We start from the raw sequence: 25618 nt of genomic DNA on the forward strand, positions 1-25618 counted from the left end.
TGCATTAGTTATTTAGAAAATATTGGTTTATGTTTTATTGTGTCAGAAATCACTTTTTTAAATTTAACCACCAATCTTATTTTAAAACATCTTTAAGTATTGAGAAGCTGTCAAGCTTACAGTAGAAGGAACAAGTTTTTCAAAGTCCTCAGGAAAGCTCAACTTTTGTCTTTGGAAACAAATACTTATTTTCCTTGTGACACATTTTGTGACACATTTCCTTGTGAACGAGTGACAGCTTCATTTATTTTTGAGAATGATAGTTGCACCTTTTTTTAAGACTGAGTTTCACTCTGTCACTTGGCTAGAGTCCATTGGCATGATCTCAGCTCAAGCAATCCTCTCACCTCAGGTTCCTGAGTAGCTGGGACCACAGATGTATGTCAGCATGCCTGGATAATTTTTTTTGTATTTTTGGTAGAGACAGGGTTTCGTCATGTTGCCCAGGCTGGTCTCAAACTCCTAAAGGAGCTCAAGTGATCTGTCTGTTTTGGCTTCCCAAAGTGCTGGGATTTTACAGGAGTGAGCCATTGCGCTGGCCGGTTGTACTTTTAAATGAAATTGATGTTTCTCTTTAGTTATCTGCAGTATATTCTCATGATATATTTATTATTTTCAGTAGTTTAAGGGAAGCTAGCAAATCTGAATCACATTTAAATTTGTTAAAGTTCTAAGGAGAGTATTGTCCACCACTACTACTTTGTAAAACATTTCTGTGTTTCAGTGTGTGGTTAGAGGAGTGACAATGTGTTTGGTTTATTGCCATTGCCTGTTAGGGAGGGTCAATACTCACAGGCATTTCTGACTGGTTATGGTATAAAAGACTGCACAGTACAGGACATGCTATGCTGAGGAAGAAGAGGTCAGGAAACCCTCTGCAAGTCAGTATCAAGGAGAATTTGTAAAAACTGTTTGCTTTGGTGAAGTAAACACCAAAGCACATAGGCACACAGGAGGCATTATTTTACTAAATGGATATTATACTAAGATATTAACAGTTTTTGAAGTAATACACATTCTTATTTTATAGAGATGCAGATAGATCTTTGGGCATATTTGATGAACGGTTACACCCATTTACAGTAAGTGTCACTTATTTATTTATTTATTTATTTTTTGAGATGGAGTTTCGCTCTTGTTGCCCAGGCTGTAGTGCAATGGTGTCATCTTGGCTCACTGGAACCTCTGCCTCCCAGGTTCAAGCAATTCTCCTGCTTCAGCCTCCCAAGTAGCTGGGGTTACAGGTACCCACCACCACGCCTGGCTAATTTTGTATTTTTAGTAGAAGGGTTTCACCATGTTAGCCAGGCTGGTTTTGAATTCCTGACCTCAGCCTCCCAAAGTGCTGGGATTACAGGCATGAGCTACTGCACCTGGCCCAGTAAGTGTCACTTTTATTGAGTTTGTATTTTCTTTTCTTTTCTTTTTTTTTTTTTTTTGAGACCGAGTCTTGCTCTGTTGCCCAGGCTGTTGTTCAGGGGCGTGATCTCAGCTCACTGCAAGCTCTGCCTCCTGGGTTCACACTATTCTCCTGCCTCAGCCTCCCAAGTAGCTGGGACTACAGGCGCCCATCACCACACCAGGCTAATTTTTTGTATTTTTAGTAGAGATGGAGTTTCACCGTGTTAGCCAGGATGGTCTCGATCTCCTGACCTCGGGATCTGCCCACCTCGGCCTCCCAAAATGCTGGGATTACAGGCGTGAGCCACCACGCCCTTCCTGAGTTTGTATTTTCATCATAGATTTGTATCTGTTTCATGCCTGCAGTCAAAGGCATCTTTCTTTAAGTCTTGTTCCTCATTTCATGTGGCATCTAGTCATCTTATTTTAAAAGTGTTGTAAAAAGTACATGCTGGAATAAGAACTGATCTGCAGGTATGTTTAATTAGTGAGATAATATGAGCAAATACACTATCCAAATAACAGAAAACATATCTTTTTAAAAGATAATTGTCAGTAGTATCAAGCTATATAAGTATATGTAAATACTTTTAACACAGAAGCATGATTTTTATGAAGAGGGTTAAAAATAATTTAAGTTCTCCGGGTGTGGTGGCTCACACCTTTGTAATCACAGCACTTTGGGAGGCTGAGGTGGGGGGATCACTGGAGGTCAGGAGTTTGAGACCAGCCTGACCAGTATGATGAAACCCTGTCTCTACTAAAAATACAAAAATTATCTGGGCATGGTGGCATGCGCCTGTAATCCCAGCTACTCGGGAGGCTGAGATAGAAGAATCGCTTGAACCCAGGAGGTGGAGGTTGCAGTGAGCCGAGATCACACCATTGCACTCCAGCCTGGGCAACAAGAGTGAAAATCCATCTCAAAAAAAAAAAAAAAAAGAATTTAAGTTTAAATCAACTTACATGGTGTAAAAACTTAAAAATGTATTTTCTCAGGTGCATAATAGCCACATGTGACTAGTGACTGTTGTATTTATCAGCACAGGCTTAGAGCCTCATGGTTACAGGAAACTATATTTTTTCAAAGTTTATTGCAGAGAAGAATGACATACGGTCAGTAAGACATTAAAGCCTAGTAATAGCTTACATTTGGATGGAATTATGTGGGGGAAAGGGTAAAAAAGAACACAAACATTTTCTGAGCTTAAGCTCAATTATTTTTAAGTGAATGTTGATGAGTATGAAATCATTATGGTATTTCAGGATTCTACTGTTCATATTGTAAAAACTAAAAGACATCTCACCAATCAAAATTATCGTTAAGTGACACATGGGCACAAATGTGAACACTTCTGTCTTAAGAACACCTCAGGTTTTTTCTTCAATGGATACTTACATTACATCCTTTCTTCTTTCAGTGAGAAGACGTTTTGGAGGAATATTTTAAATATGATCCTTAACACAAATTGGTTTTCAGTTTTGTTTGTATTCTGTTTAAAGCCATAAGGCTAACAGCTGAATTTGCAATTGTAAGTTTGGTAAGATATTTTCTATTTCTAAAGCAGCTTTAGAAATTCTTCTTGTAAACAGGGTGGTGTGGTCCTGTTTTTAAATAACAGTAGGTTTCTGAAATTATCTCAGAATTTCGAGAGGAACTTATGAAAGCAAATACACACATTTTAGTTGAATCATCATTATGGCTTAAAATCTCACAATTGCTTTTCTCATCACAGAGCAATTGCTATTAAAGGCAGCAGGAGGGATTTCTGATTTCTCCCCCAACACTTCAATAAACACATGCACACACAGTGCACACACATCCAGGGCTTGTGGAGGGTTTGGAATGGGGAGCAGTAACAAAACCATCTGGCCGACGGGCAGGAAGGGATGCTGGTGTAGGTCTAAGCTGAGTCCCAGGCTGTATCCCCAGGCAATTCTGATGCATGTTGTCATTGACAGCTGCTGCCCTCAAGTCTTTGTTCCTTGGATGATGTGGGTTAATATATCCCTGCTGATCACCTGTGCCTTCTCATGAAGTTGCCCAGGAATGTGGTTCCAGTTGGTCTACCAAACCATAGCTGTGTCATTACATTTACATTATCCCTACAGAATTCCTTTTGTAAAACTATAATTTTAAATAATAGATTCTGTTCAAATTATTAAAAATAGTCTTACTCCTCCCCACAACAGACCTATGGAGGAAAGTCAACTTCATGGCCAGGAATGAAAAAATACTTATGTGAATACTTCTTTAGCAACCAGCTAGAGTCTAGAGGAGAAGGCTCCTGCTGTGCACTTGGAATGAAAGCCCTGAAAGGGCGCTGGACCAGATACAGGCCTTCTCGAGGAGCTGCAAGTCATTTGGAACTCTTAGCACGTGCTAGAGGGAAGCAGGAGTGGTGCTTCCAGATGTAGAGAGATAGGTGATGCAGGAGGGAAAGCTGGATTGGAAAAGGGAGAGTTTTGTACATGGGCTAAGCTTGATGTGCCTTTGAGAGAGCAGAGTAGCAGAGTGTAGTCATCATTTGGATATACAGGACTAGAGCATGAATCTGACATAGAGCTACAGAATGAAGAGCAACAGAAGCTGTTTAAATACCAAGAAAGTGTGTAGAATGAAATTGGACAAGCCGGGCATGGTGGTTTCACACCTTTAGTCCTAGATACTTGGGAGGCTGAGGTGGGGGAATTACTTGAGCCCAGCAGTTTAAGTCCAGTCTGGGCCAGCTAATGAGACCCTGTATTTATTTATTTATTTATTTATTTATTTATTTATTTATTTATTTAGAGACAGAGTCTCACTGTGTCACCCAGGCTGCAGTGCAGTGGCGTGATCTCTGCGCACTGCAAGCTCCGCCTCCCAGGTTCATGCCATTCTCCTGCCTCAGCCTCCCGAGTAGCTGGGACTACAGGCGCCCGCCACAACACCCGGCTAATTTTTTGTATTTTTAGTAGAGATGGGGTTTCACCGTGTTAGCCAGGATGGTTTCAATCTCCTAACTTCGTGATCCACCCACCTCAGCCTCCAGAAGTGTTGGGGTTACAGGCGTGAGCCACTGCGCCAGCCTGAGACCCTGTATCTTAAGAAAACAAAAAGTAAGGCCGGGTACATTATCTCACGCCTGTAATGCTAGCACTTTGGGAGGCCAAGTTGAAAGGATTGCTCAAGTGTAGGAGTTCAAGACCAGACTGGGCAATAAAGTGAGACCCATTTCTACAAAAAAAAAAATTAAGAAATTAGCTGGACATGATGACACATGCCTGTGGCACCAGGCACATGGCAGACTGAGGCAGGAAGATCACTTGAGCCCAGGAGGTGGAGGCTGCACTCCAGCCTGGGCAAGTGAGTGAGACCCTGTCTCGAAAACAGATAAAATGGACAGAAAATAGTTTGGTAAGGACTATTATCATTTGAGGGACAAGCCCCCAGTGGAGTAGCCACTAGAGTGGGAAGAGGAAAAGCAGAAAAGGATAATAAAAGGAGAAAGAGTTCAAGATAGGAGAAGCTGTGGTCACAGTGCTGAATGCTGCCAAGCAGTGACTTGATTCATGAACACTCACTGGATGCTGACCCTGTGCCGCTCTTCTAAGTGCTGGGGTAGAGGAGAGGACAGGTGGATCACAGTTCTTGCTTTTATGAGCTTATGTTCTAGGAAGATGGAACTTAAGTATTTTCTCAGGTAGTATGAAACAGCAGGAAGAGGAAGCAGGATAAAGGGATACAGAGTGATTGGGGGCTATTTTAGGTAAAATGATAAGGAAGAGCCTCTCTAGAGAGCTGACATTTGAACAGTGACCTGACTGAAGGAACAACGGACAAGAGTGCTGACATTACAGGCAGCAGGATGACTGTAAAGACAGACAGAAATGCATTTCTTATGTGTTTGAGGAACAAACAGCAAGGTGACCAGCATGGTCAGAGTGAAGAATGAGGGAAACAGTGGAGATGAGGCCCCTCAGGCAGTACCATAGCTCACAGGGCCTTTTGGCTTGTAGGCCATAGGAAGAAGTTAAGGTTTTACTCCAGTTTGATGGGAAGCTCATGGTAGATCTTGAGCAGGGCAGTGCCATGCTCTAAATGAAGAGGTTATGCTGGCTGCTTTGGGGACACTAAGCCATAATTGGGAGGCAGAGTGAAGGCAGTGAAGAGGGTTAAGAAGCACCTAGGGTAATACAGGTGAGCAGTGACAGACTGTGGGTCATCATCAAACCATGCAGACCACCAGTGAAGGTAGACGTAAGAGGCATTGCACACAGATTGGAGCAGGGGAACTGAAATGCAGGTATTTGCCCCAGCACCTAGGCAAATGGCACATGTGTGGCCTTTGAAATAATTATTTGGCCAGTGACAGGTCTAGGGCCTCTGGACTGTGAAAAATGTGTAGTTTCACCCTGAGTTACACATTGTGAATTTGCCTTTGCTGGTGTTCCCCCTGCTTTTATCTGAAGTTCTGTTTTATAGAAACCTTGAGATACAGAATAGCCACAGATCCCTGTGCCCCATCCCATCCCCAATAGGAGTGTTGCATGTGTTTAGAAATTGGGCTGATGAGTTAGAAGTTCCAGTGTTCCCCTCAGGCAGTCTGAGAAACATTGCTGGAGCATCACCCAGTGCTCACCACACTCAAGAGGTTCCCGGGGCACTCATACAACCACAGCAGCACTTTGGGGGCCCCGAGTTACCTGTGAGAGTGTAAGAAATCTTGCTGAGTCATGGGGTTGCTCACAGATGGCACCAACATGATGCTGAAACAGAAGCTTCATGGGGTCTTTCTTCCAGTCTAGCCTCATGACTGCTTTAAAGGGAAGGGCCTTGGAGCTGGTAGGTAGAGAGAGCCAGGGAGGCATTTTGAGCAGAGGCTCTCACAGTGTCCACTAGAGATTGAGAATGGCTTTGTGGGTGACACTTAGGGAAACCTGAAGGAACACCTCTTGATGACATTGAGCACCGTATGAAGATCAAGATCATGACAGGCAGTGGCAAGAGGTTTCGGGTTTTTGTTTTTCTTTTTTTTTTTTTTTTTTTTTACATTTGCCTGTTTCTCCAGTTAAGACTGTCTTTCAGAATGTATGGAATCACAGAGGTGGAACCTGATGGCTGAATAGCAGTCTCTGCCAATTGTGCTCCCTTCAGGAATAGCAAATTTAGCAACTATCTAAATAAAAAAACCACCTGCATAGGAACTAAAAATCAGGTAAGCAATCATAGTACCTGGTTTTAACTTCATATCACTGAAAGAAGCACTGAATAGTGTAGAAAAAAGACAGTCTTGAATTGCTGATGCCACCCTTTCCCCATGTCCCAGCTGTGGACCTGTGGTGAGGAGAGGGGCTACATGCTTGGGGGAGGGAGAGCACAGCAACTGTGGGACTTTGCACTAAATTCAGTGCTGCCTTGTCATAGCAGAAAGCAAAACAAGGCTGCACTCATCCAATGCCCACCCACGGAGGAAACATTTAGACTAGCCCTAGCCAGAGAGGAATTTTTCATGCCAGTGGTTGGAACTTGAGTTGTGAAAGGCTACTGGCTACTGTGGGATAAAATACTCTGGGGTCCTTAATAAATCTGAAAGTCCATCTAGGCCACAAGGAATGCTGTGCTGTGCTTGGAGACAGTGTATTTAGGGGCATGTGACCTACAGAGACAGCAGCTGGGGCAGCTAGGGAGTGCTTGCCCACCCTTCCTCCAATCCTAGACAGTGCAACTCACAGCTCTGACAGAGACCTCTTTCTTCTGCTTGAGGGGAGGAAAGAGGACTTTGTCTTGCAACTTGGATACTAGCTCAGCCACAGTAGGAGAGGGCACTGGTCAGAGTCATGAGACCCCCATTTCAGGTCCCAGCTTCAGGATAACATCTCTAGACAAACCTTGGGCCAGAAGGGAACTTGCTGCCTTAAAGGGACTCAGTAATGGCAGGATTCATCACTTTCCAATGAAAGAGCCCTTGGGCCCTGAAGAATCATCAGTGGTGACCAGGTAGTACATGCCATGGCCCTTGAATGAGACTCAGAGATGTGCTTGCTGCAGGTGTGACCCAGGACATTCCCAGCTGTGGTGGCTGTGAGGAGAGACTCCCTCTGCTTGAGAAAAGCCGAGGGAAGAGTTAAGAGGATTTTTCTTGAGCTTAGATACCAGCTCAGCTACAGTGGAGAGGAGTACCAAGTGGGCTGTTGGAGTCCCTGATTCAGGCCTTGGCTCTTGGATGGCATCTCTGGACCTACCCTGGACCAGAGGGGAGCCCACTGCCCTGAAGTTTGAGTTCCAGGCCAGGCAGCATTCACCACAAGCTGACTGAAGTGCTTGGGCATTGAGTGAGCATCACTGGTGACCTGACAGTAATCCCCACGGGACTCTGTTGATGGTGTACGTGGGGACAAACTACTCTGCCTGGGGAAAGGGGAGGGAAGAGTGGGAATGGATTTGCCTAGTGGATTCAGTGCCAGCTCAGCCATGGTAGAGCAGAACACCAGGTAGATGTCTAAGGTTTATGACTCCAGCCCTGGCTCCCAGACAGCACCTCTGAACCCACCCAGGGACCAGAGGAACTTACTGCACTTAAAGGAAGGACAGAAGCCTGGCTGGCTTCACTACCTGCTAATTGTAGAGCCCCAGGGCCTTGAGCAAAATAGGTGGCAGCGGGTAGTTGTTACAGTGGGCCTTGGCCCACCACAGTGCTGTGCCAGCTTTAGACCTAGTGCTGTCCCAGTGGTGGTGGCCACAGGGGTGCTTGTATTGCTCCTCTCTGAGCTCCAGGCAGCCTAGAACAGAGAGACTTCATTTGTGGGAAAGTAAGGGAAGTGAGTCCCTGTCTGCTAATTCAGAAGAATTCCTTCAGGTGTGATCTCAAACCACCAATGTGGTACCTCCACAAGTCTGCAAAAAACAATGACATTCTTCACAGAAATAGAAATAAAAAATGAATTCTAAAATTTATATGTAACTACAAAAGACTTAGAATATCCTAAGCTATCCTGAGCAGAAAACAAACAAAACTGGAGGAATCACATTATCTGATTTCAAACTATACTCTATAGCTATAGTAACCAGAACAGCATGGCACTGGCATAAAAACAGACACATAAACCAATGGAACAGAATAGAAAACCCAAAAACCAGTTTATACATCTGCAGTGAACTCATTTTCAGCAAAGGTGCCAAAGCACATACAATGGGAAAATGACAGTCTCGTCAATAATTGGTGGTGGGAAAACTGGATATTCATACGCAGGGGAATGAAACTAGACCTCTATTTCTCACCTCATACAAAAATCAAATCAAAATGGATTAAAGATTTAAATCTCAGCTGGGTGCAGTGGCTCACGCCTGTAATCCCAGCACTTTGGTAGGCTGAGATAAAAGAATCGCTTGAGCCTGGTAGTTCAATACCAGCCTGGGCACACCAGTGAGATTCTGTCTCTATTTTTTAAAACATTAAAAATTAAAAAAATTTAAATCTAAGACCTGAAATATGAAACAAATAAAACATTGGGAAAACTCTCTGGAATACTGGACTCAGCAAATATTTCTTGAATATTTCATAAGCACAGACAGCCAAAGCAAAAATGGGAAAATTAGGTCACATCAAGTTAAAAAGCTTCTGCACAGCAAAGGAAACAATCAACTAAGTGAAGAGACAACACACAGAATGGGGGAAGCTATTTGAAAACTATCTGACAAGGGATTAATTACCAGAATATTTAAGAAGCTCAAAGAACTCCATAGAAAAAAAATCTAATAATCTGATCTTTAAAATGGGCAAAATATCTGAATAGGCATTTCTCAAAAGAGGACACATTAGCCAGGCATGATGACACGTGCCTGTGGTTTCAGCTGTTTGGGAGGCTTAGGTGCAAAAATTACCTGAGCCTGGGAGGTTGAGGCTGCAGTGTGCTGTGATTGTGCCACTGCACTCCAACCTGACTGACAAAGTGAGATCCTGTTTCAAAACTAAGAAGGGCATACAAATAGCAGATAGGTATATGAAAAGATACTCAACATCAATATCATTGATCAGAGAAATGCAAATCAAAATTACAATGAGAGATCATCTCACCCCACTTAAAATGGCTTTTATTCTAAAGATAGCCAATAACAAATCTGGTGAGGATATAGAGAAAAGGTAACCCTCATACACTGTTAGTGGGAATGTAATTTAAGTACAACCACTATGGAGAAATGTTTGGAGGTCCTCAAAACTAAAAATAGAACTACCATATGATCCAGCAATCCTAGTGCTGGGTATATATGCAAAAGAAAGGAAATCGGTATAACAGAGAGATACCTGCACTCTCATGTATATTGCAGCACTATTCACAACAGCCAAGATTTGGAAGCATTCTGAGGTTCCATCAACAGATGAGTGGCTAAAGAAAATGTGGTACATATACACAATGGAGTACTATTCAACCATAAAAGAGAATGAGATCCTGTTATTTGCAAGAACATGGGTGGAAATGTTGAGTGAAATAAGCCAGACACACACGGAAAAACAAATTTCACATGTTCTCACTTATTTGTGGGAGCTAAAAATTAAGACAGTTTTTTGTTTGTTTGTTTGTTTTTTGAGATGGAGTCTTGCTCTGTCACCCAGGCTGGAGTGCAGTGGCACTACGGCGGCTCACTGCAACCTCCGCCTCCTGGGGTCAAGCAATTCTCCTACCTCTGCCTCCCAAGTAGCTGGGATTACAGGCGCGTGCCACTATGCCCAGCTAATTTTTGTATTTTTAGTAGTGATGAGGTTTCACCATGCTGGCCAGGCTGGTCTCGAACTCCTGACCTTGTGACCCACCCACCTCGGCCTCCCAAAGTGCTGGGATTACAGGTGTGAGCCACTGTGCCTGGCCTCAAACAATTTAACTCATGAAGATATAGAGTAGGAGAATTGTTAGCAGAGGCTGGTAAAAGTAGTATGGGGGATAAGGAGTAAAATGGTTAATAGGTACACACATGTAGTTAGAAAGAAAAAATAAGATCTAGTATTTGATAGCACAACAGGGTGACAACACTCAAGAATTTTTAATCATACATTTTACAGTAACTAAAAGAGTGTAATTGAAATATTTGTAAAACAAAGATGTGCTTGAGGCATGATGGATACTTCATTTACCCTGATGTGATTATTACACGTCATAGTCATCAAAATATTTTATATACCACATAAATATATACACCTATAATATACCCCAAAAACATTTTTAAAGACTTTCATTCAGAATTACTACATTGTATATTTACAAGTGAATTGAGGATTCTTGTGACTAAGAAGAGACTCACTAGTGATGGTCAGTTGGTTTTGAAATGGCTGCTAAATTACTGCTTTGCTAATAGTAGAAACTGAGTTGTCACGGTGATATTGCTAGTAGCCATTTTAGCAAAGGATGTAACAGAAAACGAATTTGAAAAAAATAGAAGTACTTTGAAAGTTGCAGAAGCTAAAGTGCTCTTAATCACTACTGTAATCAGTCTGTACACTGGTTTCTTGAAGGGAGCAAAATTTGTAATTATGAACACTTAGCTCTGCTATAAGGCAGCTAAATTGTTTTCAAAACCTTCAGCTAATCCAGTGGGGCTCTAGTTCTAGTTACAAGGTCAGAGAATATCCAGAGAAATGTGCAGGTTTCCACAGATGTGAGCTCCAGAAGCAGTGGTGGCAGAAGCCAGCTCCAGTTCTACACAATGCTGTTTGTGAATGCAGAAGCACCCAGATCTATGCTCTGAGCAGAAACTGTAAAACGTTGCAACAAAGTGTGTAATGTACATTTATCTTGTCCCTCTGCTGTTGATTGTAATGATCTCTTTTGGACTGTGAATTGAACCATTTAAAAATTAGTGTTTATCAGATTTTTCTTAAAACTTTTCAACATCTGTTTGTCTTGTTAGAATACATTTTCCTTCAGAAACGTCACTAATTTTCAGGGAAATGAAAATAAAAACCACAGTGTGATACCACCTTACTCCTGCAAGAATGGCCATAATTTAAAAATTGAAAAAATCATACATGTTGGTATGGACTTGGTGAAAAGGGAACACTGACACTGCTGATAGGAATGTAAACTAGTACAACCACTATGGAAAACAGTACTGCCATTCAATCCAGCAATCTCACACTGGGTATCTACCCAAAGCAAAAGTCATATGAAAAAGACACATGCACATGCGTGTTGGTAGCAGCACAATTTGCAATTGCAAAAATGTGGAATGTCCATCAATGAATGGGTAAATAAAGTGTGGAATATATACACCATGGAATACTGCTGAGCCATAAAACAGAATAAAATGATGGCCTTTGCAGCAACTTGAATGGAGCTGGATGCCATTATTCTAAGTGAAGTAACTCAGGAATGGAAAACCAAATATCACGTGTTCTCACTTACGGGTGGGAGCTAAGCTAGGAGGATTTTATATGTATTTATACACATACACACACACATACACACACATACATATAAGTTAAACTGAGCAGCTCCTATTCAGAAAATGTGCTGTGCCTATAAAGGGTATGCTATTCAGCCATTTAAAAAACAACAAAAAACTAAGAAGATACATATCCTGTAAGGCATAATGGCTTTCTTCAATAACTAAGCCTCTATTAATAAACATGTTAATTATATAAAATACTGTATTTTACACATTTAAAATATGTTTACGGAAAAACATGAGATTATGAGGTACATATATTTCTATAGTAAATTAAGTCCTGATTAGCTGATTATTAAAGCATTATATGATTTACATTCCTATAGTCTTATGGTTATATGAATAGGAAAGTAATATTAGAAGTAGTTTCAGTGGGGTTTTCAGTTAAACAAATGAGAAAACCACATATCTGCTTATATCCTAACTGCTTTCCATACCAGAGAATATCAAGCATTTGTTGACTTAGCTAATGGATAAAACTTTAAAACCAAGAAACCAAATATGTTGTTGAGGTATTAATTGTTTTTATAAAGTTAAGTCTTTACAGGGATTACTATGAAAGTGGTAAGATTACTCTAGTTCTATATTTATTTAAACATTTGACAAAGTGCTGGACACAGTGGCTCATGTCTGTAATACCAGCAATTTGGGAGGCCAAGGTGGGAGTATCACTTGATCACAGGAGTTTAACACCAGCCTGGGCAACAGGTGAGACCCTGTCTCTACAAAAAGAATTTTAAAAAAATAGCCCAGCATGAACCTGTAGTCCCAGTTACTTGAAAGGCTAGGATCATGCCACTGCACTTCAGTCTGAGTGACAGAGAAAGACCCTATCTCAAAACAAACAAACAAACAAACAAAAATCTTTGGCCAGGACAGCTGGATAATCACGTGGCAGAGGGCTGCTCCCAGCTTGTTCCCCTCTCAGTACATTCAACTCATCCCCACATTCTGTTCTGGCCAGGGGTGACAGATGCTGAGCACCTTGGGGTTTCATTTCCAACTCAGGAGAAACACTGTGTAAGGCCAGCATCCTAGCAAAAGGCATGTCATAAAAGGGGTTTAATCTAGCCAAGGTGTTTCTCTTTGATCTTTCTACCATCTGAAGTGTAAAGAGTATTCCTGCACCGTAATAGTGACAGATAATAAATGGCATCCATCATTTCTGTCATCTGATCACTATTGTGATGCCTTGGGAGTGAGCATGGAGTCTGAGTTGTGCAATAGAACCCTCAAGAATGAGCCCTGAGTCAGCTGCACGAGGGCAGAGAAGGGTGTCGCCTTTCTCCTCAACCCAAACTTGGGGTGCTAGATGCAGAATGGACTGCAAGCAGCTGTGCCCTCTTTGGACATTAGTGTAGGAATCCACCCGCATAGCCTGTATTTGTTTCAAAAAAGAATTTGGAGCTATCCTAATAGCTCAGTGTGATATTTTTAAATAAACAGAAAAAAATTTTATTAACTGACTTAACAAAAAACACTGCCTATTAAATTCATTTAATATTGTTTAAGGAGTATCTACAAAATTCTGACTTCAATGTTTTCTTACAAAAGAAGTGGAAGTAAGGACAGAGACCCTTTCAAATGAAGAATCACTGAGAAACAAAATATTTATAAGTAGTATAACATTTACTTATGCACATTTTTAAAGATTATGCCATAATCAGTTTGCATCAGGCTCTCCAGTTTCACAACACTGAGAGGGTTTCCCTGTAGGAGAAATTTTCATATAAATGTTGAAGAAATTGTTAAAACTGAAAACTTTTCTGTATTTGGTAATCTACTGGGGTTCCAATCCAGTATGCTTTCTTATATTTAGAAGGTCTTTCTACAGTGTGTTATCATGGATCTTGGAGCAAATATCATGTAAATGAAGGCATTTCCACATTCTATACATTCATAGGTTTTATTTCAGAAATGAGTTCTTATCTTCATGTGGAACTGGAACAACTGAAGACCTTACCACGGATGTTTGTATTTATAAGGGTTTTCTCCATTGAATCCTTTCATATTTTCAAAGAAATGAAAAAGCTGAAGGCTTTACTGTGTTTCTTAAGATTATGTCAATTTTCTCCATATTAAATTCGAATATGTCTTTGAAAGCACGTGGGAAAATCAAGTTTATTAACACAGTTTTTACATTCATGTTGTTTTTGTTTTTCTAAGTTTTCAAAGAGAACTGGGAAAGTTGCATGCTTTCTTGTATTTCTTAGATCGATAGGGTTCTGTACAGTGTGAGTTCTTTCATGTGTTCTAATAAAGTAGAGCACATGATGCCTTTGCCACATTTTTTACATGAGAATAATGTTTTTGAACTAACATTGTCCTGTGTTGGTTTTGTTGTGTTTCTCCTTCCCCAGGAATGAGTTGGAAAGGGAATTCTTGAAGCTAATTAATTACAATATCAGCGTTACTGGCAGTGTTTATAGCAGATTCTACTTCAATCTTCGAACCATGGCACATGACAACAGCCTGTATTCGCTAGTTTATCTTCTTGACAGAGAAAGAGCATGGAAGCTGGAGGTAAGGCTACGAAGTTACTAAGTGGGTTTTCAGTCAAACACCAATGCCAACATCTGTGACTAGGTCATATTAAGCAGTGATTAGAAAAATGGAAAGCTTCAAAATTAACTAACATACTGAAGATCTTGTTACTTTTTGGCGTTCTATTTCCTGTATATTTTATGGTTTTTACAAGGATCCACATTATTTGAAAATTATAGCTATTATCTTCCCTTTTATGACCTTAATTCAGAATATTTTAATCAAATTTAATTCATTTGTAATCTTTCCTTTTTGAACCTTTACCCTTTCAAATAATCATATGTAAATGATTTCTTGTTATTGTATTCTGAGCAATGTCTACATACATAATGCACTTACCACTCTTGACTATTTTTTATTATTCAGTTTGCAAATTTATGTCATTTTCTACTGTATATACCACAGTGCAGTCAGTCCCATGGGTTTGTTAGAAAAAGCATTAGTGCCTAAGCCAAGAGACCTGCACTTAGACTGTATAAGGTGTGTGTGTCTCAAGTACTGGATGCAGAAAGTACATGGGATTTTACTGGAAATAACTTTTATGGGACAAAGTAATATTTATGGCTTGTGACTTTTGGTAAGTACACAGCAAAGTTACAGCTGACAAGGACGAGCATTTAAAATAGGCATGTTCTGTGGTACCTTGGAAGTATTTTAAAATAATACATTTTCTATCATAATTAATGTGCAAGTGAAGTAGTGCCTTTTGATGCTTTAGTCATTAGACTTCTTTGATGTTCCAATACAATCCAGCACATGCCTGCATCATTAAAATTTGCTTTGAGTATATAATAACTACTATAGATTGGGTAGAGTTTGAATAGATTAATAAACTAACTTTTTGCAAAAGTGTACATTCATTATGCTTAAGGAACAAGTACACAGGTAACAGATGATACTGCTCTTAGAAGCCTGTCACAATACTGTGACATCTTTGGGTGCCCAATTTTTAAGTAACTTAATAAAACAAGTTCCCCTTTGCTCCAGCAATCTAATTCTAGCCCTGAAAGGAGATTATCTTAGCGAGTTGACAGAACTTGGCGGTGTAAACCTCAGCCAAGTAGCTATAACTGGGCCAGGCACTGTGACTCATGCCTGTAATTCCAACACTTTGGGAGGCCGCGGCGGGTGGATCATGATGTGAGGAGTTCAAGACCAGCCTGGCCAAGCTGGTGAAACCCCGTTGTTACTAAAAATATGAAAATTAGCTGGCACCTATAATCCCAGCTACTCGGGAGGCTGAGGCAGAGAATTGCTTGAACCTGGGAGGCGGAGGTTGCAGTGAGCCAAGATTGTGCCATTGCACTTCAGCCTGGGTGACAGAGCAAGAGTCCTTCTCAAAAAAAAAAAAAAAGGTAGCTGTAACTGAGCTATCTGAAGGAGTTTGCATGCATGGCTTGTCATCAGTGGTGATAGTTAAAAGGTTGGAACCCTTTTTAAAATTGTACCTCTTTTCTATTTGACATTCTTAGGCTTTTTCAAGGATGGAACAAGACAAAGTTTTCTATAGTGCTGCCAAGAACAGGTCTTTGAGTGCTGATGATTTAATTCATTTTCAGCGTGCTAAGGCCATCCTCTTCTGAAGGAAGAAAAGAAGGGTAGTGTAAACCCTCATTTTGATGTGATCTGAACCTCTCATCAAAAAAGGCAGGAAAATATCACCTCTCCTGCTAAAGAACTAGAAAAGTTGATATTTTCAAAAGAAGAAACACCTCAATTCAAGTTAACTCAAGGACAACTAAATGGCACTTCATAGTAAAGAATGGGACCTTGTCAGGGCAACAACACACTCTTACATTCTTCTGTCCCATTTAATGTAAACAGAGTTATAAAAACCACTCCAAAGTGAAGACTCCTTCTACCCACACACAGATATTTGCTTAGTATGTGGACTGATAGCTGTGAACTACGTAAGGCTTTTAAAACAATAGTTTAACTTTTTAGATTTTAAAGATAACTTTTCTGTTTCTTTTATGTTTTCTCTTTTCCCCAATATTGCTGCATACACATTTGGAATCAGTGCAGTATCACTGTTAAAACATGGGAGTCTAACAATTCCTAAAGCCACTAGGAGCAGACCCAACATTGTCAGGTATGGAAGGGCTCTTCCTTCCTACTTTTACCATGGAAGCTACTAGTTACTGGCGATCATCAAGCAAAAGCTGCCAGACAGCATTTGCCATTCATATCCTTTGTAAGCCCTTCTTATTAGCAGTTTAGCATGTTTAGGGTCATAAAAAGAGAAAGTATTGGTTATTGATTATCTACTTTTATGAAGGTCTATAGTGTATTTCTTGTGAACTATAATGGTTCTCATTTGCTGATAAAGTTTCTTATTGTTAAGTAAATGTGTTCAAAGATGTTTTCACAGTGCCAAGCAGAATGGTGGTCCAGTGGTTATATAAAAATAATAAAATATGAGGTACCCTGAAACTTTCAGGGCAGTTTTTAGCTTTAATATAGTGTGCCTGGGCCCTCCAGAGGACTGCAGCATATGTATACATGCTGTAAATCTTTACAAAATATCATTTGAAAGTGTAATTGTATTTCTTCTTTTTAACAGATGGTGCCTCGCTATATTGCCCAAGCTACAGTGCAATGAGTAATCAGAGACACAATCATAACGCACCACAGCCTGAAAATCCTGGCCTCAAGCAATCTTCCCATGTCAGCCTACCAGGTAACTGGGACCATAGGTGTGTACCACCACCTCTGGCTTTATTTTACAGAATTTGAATGTTAAGCTTTTAACTTTTTGTTTCAGTCAATATCTGCTATCTTCAAGAAGGACTGAAACAAAAAATTAAAAGCTTAATATTCAGGAGCTAGGCATGCTTGTAGTCCCAGCTACTCACGAGGCTTAAATGGGAGGATCACTTGAGGCCTAACCTTGGAGGCTGCAGTGCACTGTGATTGTGCCTGTAAATAGCCATTGCACTCCAGCCTTGGCAACTTAATGAGACCGTGTCACCTTAAAAAATGGCAAAACTAAATAAACGTAAAAGAAATACAACAAGCTTTTCAATTATGTTTTGTAAATATTTCTAGCATTGTTACTTTTACAAGGATCAAAGCTTAAAATTACACTAAGACTTTTGGAATTCTTGTGTTTTTACAAAGTGCCCTTTTCTCTTGTAAAGTAGCTCTTTGCAAGGCTTTTATCTGCAATGATCACCTCAAATTATTTTCCCTAGATGTGATAAAGAGGAGGATCTGTGTTAATTCACATGTAACGAATTAGAAGGAATTGGACCCCAATAGTAGTAGGTGATGTAATACATTTTATTATCCCACATGTTAGCCTGAGTGCAGGTATCATATTTCATGTCCTGCTATTTAAAAAGAACTTCCATAAACCTTAGGAACCCTACCTCCTGAAAAAGTATCACTTATGGAATGCAGAGCTTAGAGATTGAAGTATTGATTGCAGTTTTATTTTCAAAAGATAAATGCTACAACTGATGTGGTTTTCATTTCTCATGTTTATATTAAAAGAAAACCTAGTAAATTATTTAATTAAAATGTGGTGAGTGTGTTTATAACACTTCTATTCACATAGTGTTGCATCTCTGCCTAACTTAAATGGTTTAAATCAGTACTGATATGGCTTAAAGCATTTTTGTAAGTTGCCGTGACCATACACAAGTTGGTTTAATCCATGCCTGTATTTAAGATGTAATACTTGTTTTCTCTTTTTTTTTTTTTTTTTTTTGAGATGCAGTCTAGCTCTGTTGCCCAGGTTGGGACTGCAGGTGCACGCTGCCACGCTCAGCTGATTTTTTGTATTTTAGTAGAGACCAGGTTTCACCATGTTGCCCAGGCTGGTCTCAAACTCCTGACCTCAGGCAATCCACCCGCCTCGGCCTCCCAAAGTGCTAGGATTACAGGCATGAGCCACCATGACTGGCCCTCAATTTTAAGATAATTTATTACGCTTAAAATAACCCCCTGGCCACAATACTTAGTGGCATAGTGAGAAAATCAATAGAATAAGGAACACTAACATTGTTCTCTCCTTTGGCTTGAATTCTAGAAGGGAATACAGTCATTTAGATAAATGAAAAATTGGGTCAGCTTAGAATAAGAATATAAATGTCACTGAAAGTGGGCAGGTTCTCCAACAAATGTTATGGGGCATGGAAACTAAGTTGCTAGTAGGTGGTAACGATGGCAGTTTTCATAGAGTTTGATACCTGGGAAAGATTAGTTCTTTAACATATGACTATGAAAAGGATTATCTGAGTACCAAAGCTCAAATTTACTTTGACTTTTTGGGTTATTTTAATGTCTGTAATACAGACACCAGTGAAATTTTACTCTGGTAGAGCATGAACTAACACTTTTACATCTTCAATACAAAGAAAAGACAAAGATCTGAAATATGTATTTGAACCAAGTGAAACAGTCATTTTTGTAGCACAAAAGCAGTTGCCTATTGGCAGTTTAATATAGTTTATTTTGAGATGAACTATCTAATCTTAGGGCTCAATGTTTGTAGAGAAATTTTCCTGGTCTTTTATTCACATTTTCTTTTTATGTAACCTAGATGCCCATACGTTACTGAAATCAAACAACACTAAATCCTGATTTTACTACAACTCAAGGTTCAGTTTTTTTTTTTAATGTAGTTTTCCCACATTTCCAAATACACTATTCCTTGGTTTAAAAAAAACATGCCAAAGCCAATCTTAACCAAAAACCAAATTACTCTTGATTCTGTATTCAGGTTATGCAGTGTTTCTGGAAACTAATTTTGCGCAGTGTGCTGGTTAGCTAGAATCTTTTATCACCCAGCCCTTTCCCTAACCACATTTAAGATTTCTGTGGCTTCATTTTTTCCTCACACAGCATCCTTGAATATGGAACTATATCTTTGACAGCTGGCAGAGAAATCTCCCAGGTAAGTGCCAGTTTCTATGCAAATTTGTAGAGAACAACCAGAATCTATCAAGTTAAGGATTAGATGACCTTAAGTCTAATGGCCAGACATTTATTTGCCCAGTTGGGAACATTCTGCCAGCAAGTAATGCAAAAGATCTAGGAGCCCTTCACTAAAGCCTGCCCCCTAGGATACAGGTTTCTAAGGCAATTTCTACTGAACTCTTTTTTTTTTTTTTTTTTTTTTGAGATGGAGTCTAGCTGTGTCACCAAGGCTGGAGTGCAGTGGTGAAATTTCGGCTCATTGCAACCTCTGCCTCACAGGTTCAAGCGATTCTCCTGCCTCAGCCTCCCGAGTAGCTGGGACTATAAGTGCCCACCACCATGACCAGCTAATTTTTGTATTATTAGTAGAGACAGGGTTTCACCATATTGGCCAGGCTGGTCTCGAACTCCTGACCTTGTGATCCACCCACCTCAGCCTCCCAAAGTGCTGGAATTACAGGTGTGAGCCACTGCACCTTGCGTCTATTGAACTCTTAAATGCATTTGGTGAGGGGGTGGTTCCAAGACGGCCGAATAGGAATAGCTCCAGTCTACAGCTCCCAGTGTGAGCAATGCAGAAGATGGGTGATTTCTGCATTTCCAACTGAGGTACCGGGTTCATCTCACTGGGGCTTGTCAGACAGTGGGTGCAGGACAGTGGGTGCAGTGCACCCAGCATGAGCCGAAGCAGGGTGAGACATCGCCTCACCCGGGAAGCACAAGGCTTCAGGGGAATTCCCTTTCATAGCCAAGCAAAGCTGGGTCTGATGGCACCTGGAAAATCGGGTCAATCCCACCCTAATACTGTGCTTTTCCAATGCTCTTAGCAAACAGCACTCCAGGAGATTATATCCCGCACATGGCTCGGAGGGTCCCACACCCATGGAGCCTCGCTCATTGCTAGCACAGCAGTCTGAGATTGAACTGCAAGGCAGCAGCAAGGCTGGAGGAGGGGGGCCCGTCATTGCTGAGGCTTGAGTAGGTAAACAAAGCGGCTGGGAAGCTTGAACTGGGTGGAGCCCACCACAGCTCAAGGACGCCTGCCTGCCTCTGTAGACTCCACCTCTGGGGGCAGGGCATAGCTGAACAAAAGACAGCAGAAACCTCTGCAGACTCAAATGTCCCTGTCTGACAGCTTTGAAGAGAGTAGTGGTTCTCCCAGCACGGAGTTTGAGATCTGAGAACGGACAGACTGCCTCCTTAAGTGGATCCCTGACACCTGACTAGCCTTTCTGGGAGGCATCACCCAGTAGGGGCAGACTGACACCTCACATGGCCGGGTACCCCTTTGAGAAAAACCTTCCAGAGGAACAATCAGACAGCAACATTTGCTGTTCAGCAATATTCGCTGTTCTGCAGCCTCTGCTGCTGATACCCAGGCAAACAGGGTCTGGAGTGGACATCAAGCAAACCCCAACAGACCTGCAGCTGAGAGTCCTGACTGTTAAAAGGAAAACTAACAAACAGAAAGGACATTCACACCAAAACCTCATCTGTATGTGACTATCATCAAAGACCAAAGGTAGATAAAACCACAAAGATGGGGAAAAAACAGAACAGAAAAACTGAAAATTCTAAAAATCAGAGTGCTTCTCCTCCTCCAAAGGAATGCAGCTCCTCACCAACAAAGGAACAAAGCTGGATGGAGAATGGCTTTGATGAGTTGAGAGAAGAAGGCTTCAGACGATCAAACTTCTCCAAGCTAAAGGAGGAAGTTTGAACCCATTGCAAAGAAGTTAAAAACCTTCAAAAAAGATTAAACAAATGGCTAACTAGAATAACCGATGAAGAGAAGTCCTTAAAGGACCTGCTGGAGCTGAAAACCATGGGATAAGAACTACATGATGAATGCACAAGCTTCAGTAGCCAATTTGATCACCTGGAAGAAAGGGTATCAGTGATCGAAGATCAAATGAATGATACGAAGCGAGAAAAGAAGTTTAGAGAAAAAAGAGTAAAAAGAAATGAACAAAGCCTCCAAGAAATATGGGACTATGTGAAAAGACCAAATCTACGTCTCATTGGTGTACCTGAAAGTGACGGGGAGACTGGAAACAAGTTGGAAAACACTCTGCAGGATATTATCCATGAGAACTTCCCCAACCTAGCAAGGCAGGCCAACATTCAAATTCAGGAAATACAGAGAACTCCACAAAGATACTCCTCAAGAAGAGCAACTCCAAGGCAAATAATTTTCAGACTCACCAAAGTTGAAATGAAGGAAAAAATGTTAAGGGCAGTCAGAGAGAAAGGTCAGGTTACCCAGAAAGGGAAGCCCATCAGACCAACAGCAGATCTCTCAGCAGAAACTCTACAAGCCAGAAGAGAGTGGGGGCCAATATTCAACATTCTTAAAGAAAAGGATTTTCAACCCAGAATTTCATATCCAGCCAAACTAAGCTTCATAAGTGAAGGAGAAATAAAATCCTTTACAGACAAGCAAATGCTGAGAGATTTTGTCACCACCAGGCCTACCCTAAAAGAGCTCCTGAAAGAAGCACTAAACATGGAAAGGAACAACCGGTACCAGCCACTGCAAAATCATGCCAAATTGTAAAGACCATCGAGGCTAGGAAGAAACTGCATCAACTAATGAGCAAAATAACCAGCTAACATCATAATGACAGGATCAAATTCACACATAACAATATTAACCTTAAATGTAAATGGGCTAAATGCTCCAATTTAAAGACACAGACTGGCAAATTGGATAAAGAGTCAAGACCCATCAGTGTGCTGTATTCAGGAGACCCATCGCACAGACAGAGACACACATAGGCTCAAAATAAAGGGATGGAGGAAGATCTACCAAGCAAATGGAAAACAAAAAAAGGCAGTGGTCGCAATCCTAGTCTCAGATAAAACAGACTTTAAATCAACAAAGATCAAAAGAGACAAAGAAGGCCATTACATAACGGTAAAGGGATCAATTCAACAAGAAGAGCTAACTATCCTAAATACATATGCACCCAATACAGGAGCACGCAGATGCATAAAGCAAGCCCTTAGAGACCTACAAAGAGACTTAGACTCCCACACAGTAGTAATGGGAGACTTTAAAAACCCACTGTCAACATTAAACAGATCAACGAGACAGAAAGTTAAAAAGGATATCCAGGAATTGAATTCAGCTCTGCACCAAGTGGACCTAATAGACATCTACAGAACTCTCCACCCCAAATCAACAGAATATACATTCTTTTCAGCACCACACCACACGTATTCCAAAAATGACCAATAGTTGGAAGTAAAGCACTCCTCAGCAAATGTGAAAGAACAGAAATTATAACAAACTGTCTCTCAGACCACAGTGCAATCAAACTAGAACTCAGGATTAAGAACCTCACTCAAAACTGCTCAACTACATGGAAACTGAACAACCTGCTACTGAATGACTACGAGGTACATAACGAAATGAAGGCAGAAATGAAGATGTTCTTTGAAACCAATGAGAACAAAGACACAACATACCAGAATCTCTGGGACACATTTAAAGCAGTGTGTGAGGGAAATTTACAGCACTAAATGCCCACAAGAGAAAGCAAGAAAGATCTAAAATTGACATCCTAACATTACCATTAAAAGAACTAGAGAAGCAAGAGCAAACACATTCAAAAGCTAGCAGAAGGCAAGAAATAACTAAGATCAGAGCAGAACTGAAGGAGATAGAGACACAAAAAACCCTTCAAAAAATCAGTGAATCCAGGAGCTGGTTTTTTGAAAAGGTCAACAAAATTGATAGACTGCTAGCAAGACTAATAAAGAAGAAAAGAGGGAAGAATCAAAGAGTCACAATAAAAAATGATAAAGGGTATATCACCACTGATCCCACAGAAATACAAACTACCATCAGAGAATATTATAAACACCTCTATGGAAATAAACTTGAAAATCTAGAAGAAATGGATAAATTCCTCAACACATACAACCTCCCAAGACTAAACCAGGAAGAAGTTGAATCTCTGAATAGACCAATAGCAGGCTCTGAAATTGAGGCAATAATTAATAGCCTACCAACCAAAAAAAGTCCAGGACCAGACTGATTCACAGCCAAATTCTACCAGAGGTACAAGGAGGAGCTGGTACCATTCCTTCTGAACTATTCCAATCAATAGAAAAAGAGGGAATCCTCCCTAACTCATTTTATGAGGCCACCATCATCCTGATACCAAAGCCTGGCAGAGACACAACAAAAAAAGAGAATTTTAGACCAATATCTCTGATGAACATCAGTGCAAAAATCCTCAATAACATATTGGCAAACCAAATCCAGCAGCACATCAAAAGGCTTATCCACCATGATCAAGTGGGCTTCATCCCTGGGATGCAAGGCTGGTTCAACATATGCAAATCAATAAACATAATCCAGCATATAAACAGAACCAAAGACAAAAACCACATGATTATCTCAATAGATGCAGAAAAGGCCTTTGACAAAATTCAACAACCTTCATGCTAAAAACTCTCAATAAATTAGGTATTCATGGGACATATCTCAAAATAATAAGAGCTATCTATGACAAACCCATAGCCAACATCATACTGAATGGCAAAAAGTGGAAGCATTCCCTTTGAAAACTGGCACAAGACAGGGATGCCCTCTCTCACCACTCGTATTCAACATAGTGTTGGAAGTTCCGGCCAGGGCAATCAGGCAGGAGAAAGAAATAAAGGGTATTCAATTAGGAAAAGAGGAAGTCGAATTGTCCCTGTTTGCAGATGACATGATTGTATATCTAGAAAACCCCATCATCTCAGCTGAAAATCTCCTTAAGTTGATAAGCAAGTTCAGCAAAATCTCAGGATTCAAAATCAATTTGCAAAAATCACAAGCATTCTTATACACCAATAACAGACAAACAGAGAGCCAAATCATGAGTGAACTCCCATTCACAATTGCTTCAAAGAGATTAAAATACCTAGGAATCCAACTTACAAGGGATGTAAGGACCTCTTCAAGGAGAACAACAAACCACTGCTCAATGAAATAAAAGAGGACAGAAACAAATGGAAGAACATTCCATGCTCATGGATAGGAAGAATCAATATCGTGAAAATGGCCATACTGCCCAAGGCAACTTATAGATTCAGCACCATTCCCATCAAGCTACGAATTACTTTCTTCACAGAATTGGAAAAAACTACTTTAAAGTTCATGTGGAACCACAGAAGAGCCCGCATTGCCAAGACAATCCTAAGCCAAAAGAACAAAGCTGGAGACATCATGCTACCTGACTTCAAACTATACTACAAGGCTACAGTAACCAAAACAGCATGGTACTGGTACCAAAACAGAGATATAGACCAATGGAACAAAACAGAGCCCTCAGAAATAACACCACACATCTACAACCATCTGATCTTTGACAAACCTGACAAAAACAAGAAATGGGGAAAGGATTCCCTATTTAATAAATGGTGCTGGGAAAACTGGCTAGCCATATGGAGGAAGCTGAAACTGGATCCCTTCTTTACATCGTATACAATAATTAATTCAAGATGGATTAAAGACTTAAATGTTAGACCTGAAACCATAAAAACCCTAGAAGAAAACCTAGGCAATACCATTCAGGACATAGGCATGGGCAAGGACTTCATGTCTAAAACACCAAAAGCAATGGCAACGAAAGACAAAATTGACAAATGGGATCTAATTAAACTAAAGAGCTTCTGCACAGCAAAAGAAACTACCATCAGAGTGAACAGGCAACCTACAGAATGGGAGAAAATTTTTGCAATCTACTCATCTGACAAAGGGCTAATATCCAGAATCTACAAAGAACTCAAACAAATTTACAAGAAGAAAATAACCCCATCAAAAAGTGGGCAAAGGATATGAACAGACACTTCTCAAAAGAAGACATTTATGCAGCCAAAAGACACATGAAAAAATGCTCATCATCACTGGCCATCAGAGAAATGCAAATCAAAACCTCAATGAGATACCATCTCACACCAGTTAGAATGGTGATCATTAAAAAGTCAGGAAACAACAGGTGCTAGAGAGGATGTGGAGAAATAGGAACACTTTTACACTGTTGGTGGGAGTGTAAACTAGTTCAACCATTGTGAAGACAGTGTGGCGATTCCTCAGGGATCTAGAACTAGAAATACCATTTGACCCAGCCATCCCATTACTGGGTATATACCGAAAGGATTATAAATCATGCTGCTATAAAGACACATGCACACGTATGTTTATTGTGGCACTATTCACAATAGCAAAGACTTGGAACCAACCCAAATGTCCAACAGTGATAGACTGGATTAAGAAAATGTGGCATATATATACCATGGAGTACTATGCAGCCTTAAAAAATGATGAGGTCA

General features: G+C 40.5%; 1 pseudogene across 1 annotated transcript in view; it reads left to right on the forward strand.

The window, feature by feature from the left end:
• CCNYL4 (cyclin Y like 4 (pseudogene)) overlaps positions 1–17876 on the forward strand; it is a 38675-nt pseudogene extending 20799 nt beyond the window's left edge. Inside the window, exons 4-7 of the transcript NR_024524.1 lie at positions 1031–1082; positions 2823–2942; positions 14182–14344; positions 15838–17876. The product of NR_024524.1 is annotated as a cyclin Y like 4 (pseudogene) (transcript). The remainder of the gene's footprint in view (positions 1–1030; positions 1083–2822; positions 2943–14181; positions 14345–15837) is intronic.
• The last annotated feature ends 7742 nt before the right edge of the window (positions 17877–25618 follow it).

This window comes from Homo sapiens, chromosome 10, assembly GCF_000001405.40.
Source record: "Homo sapiens chromosome 10, GRCh38.p14 Primary Assembly".
Lineage (NCBI taxonomy): Eukaryota > Metazoa > Chordata > Mammalia > Primates > Hominidae > Homo > Homo sapiens.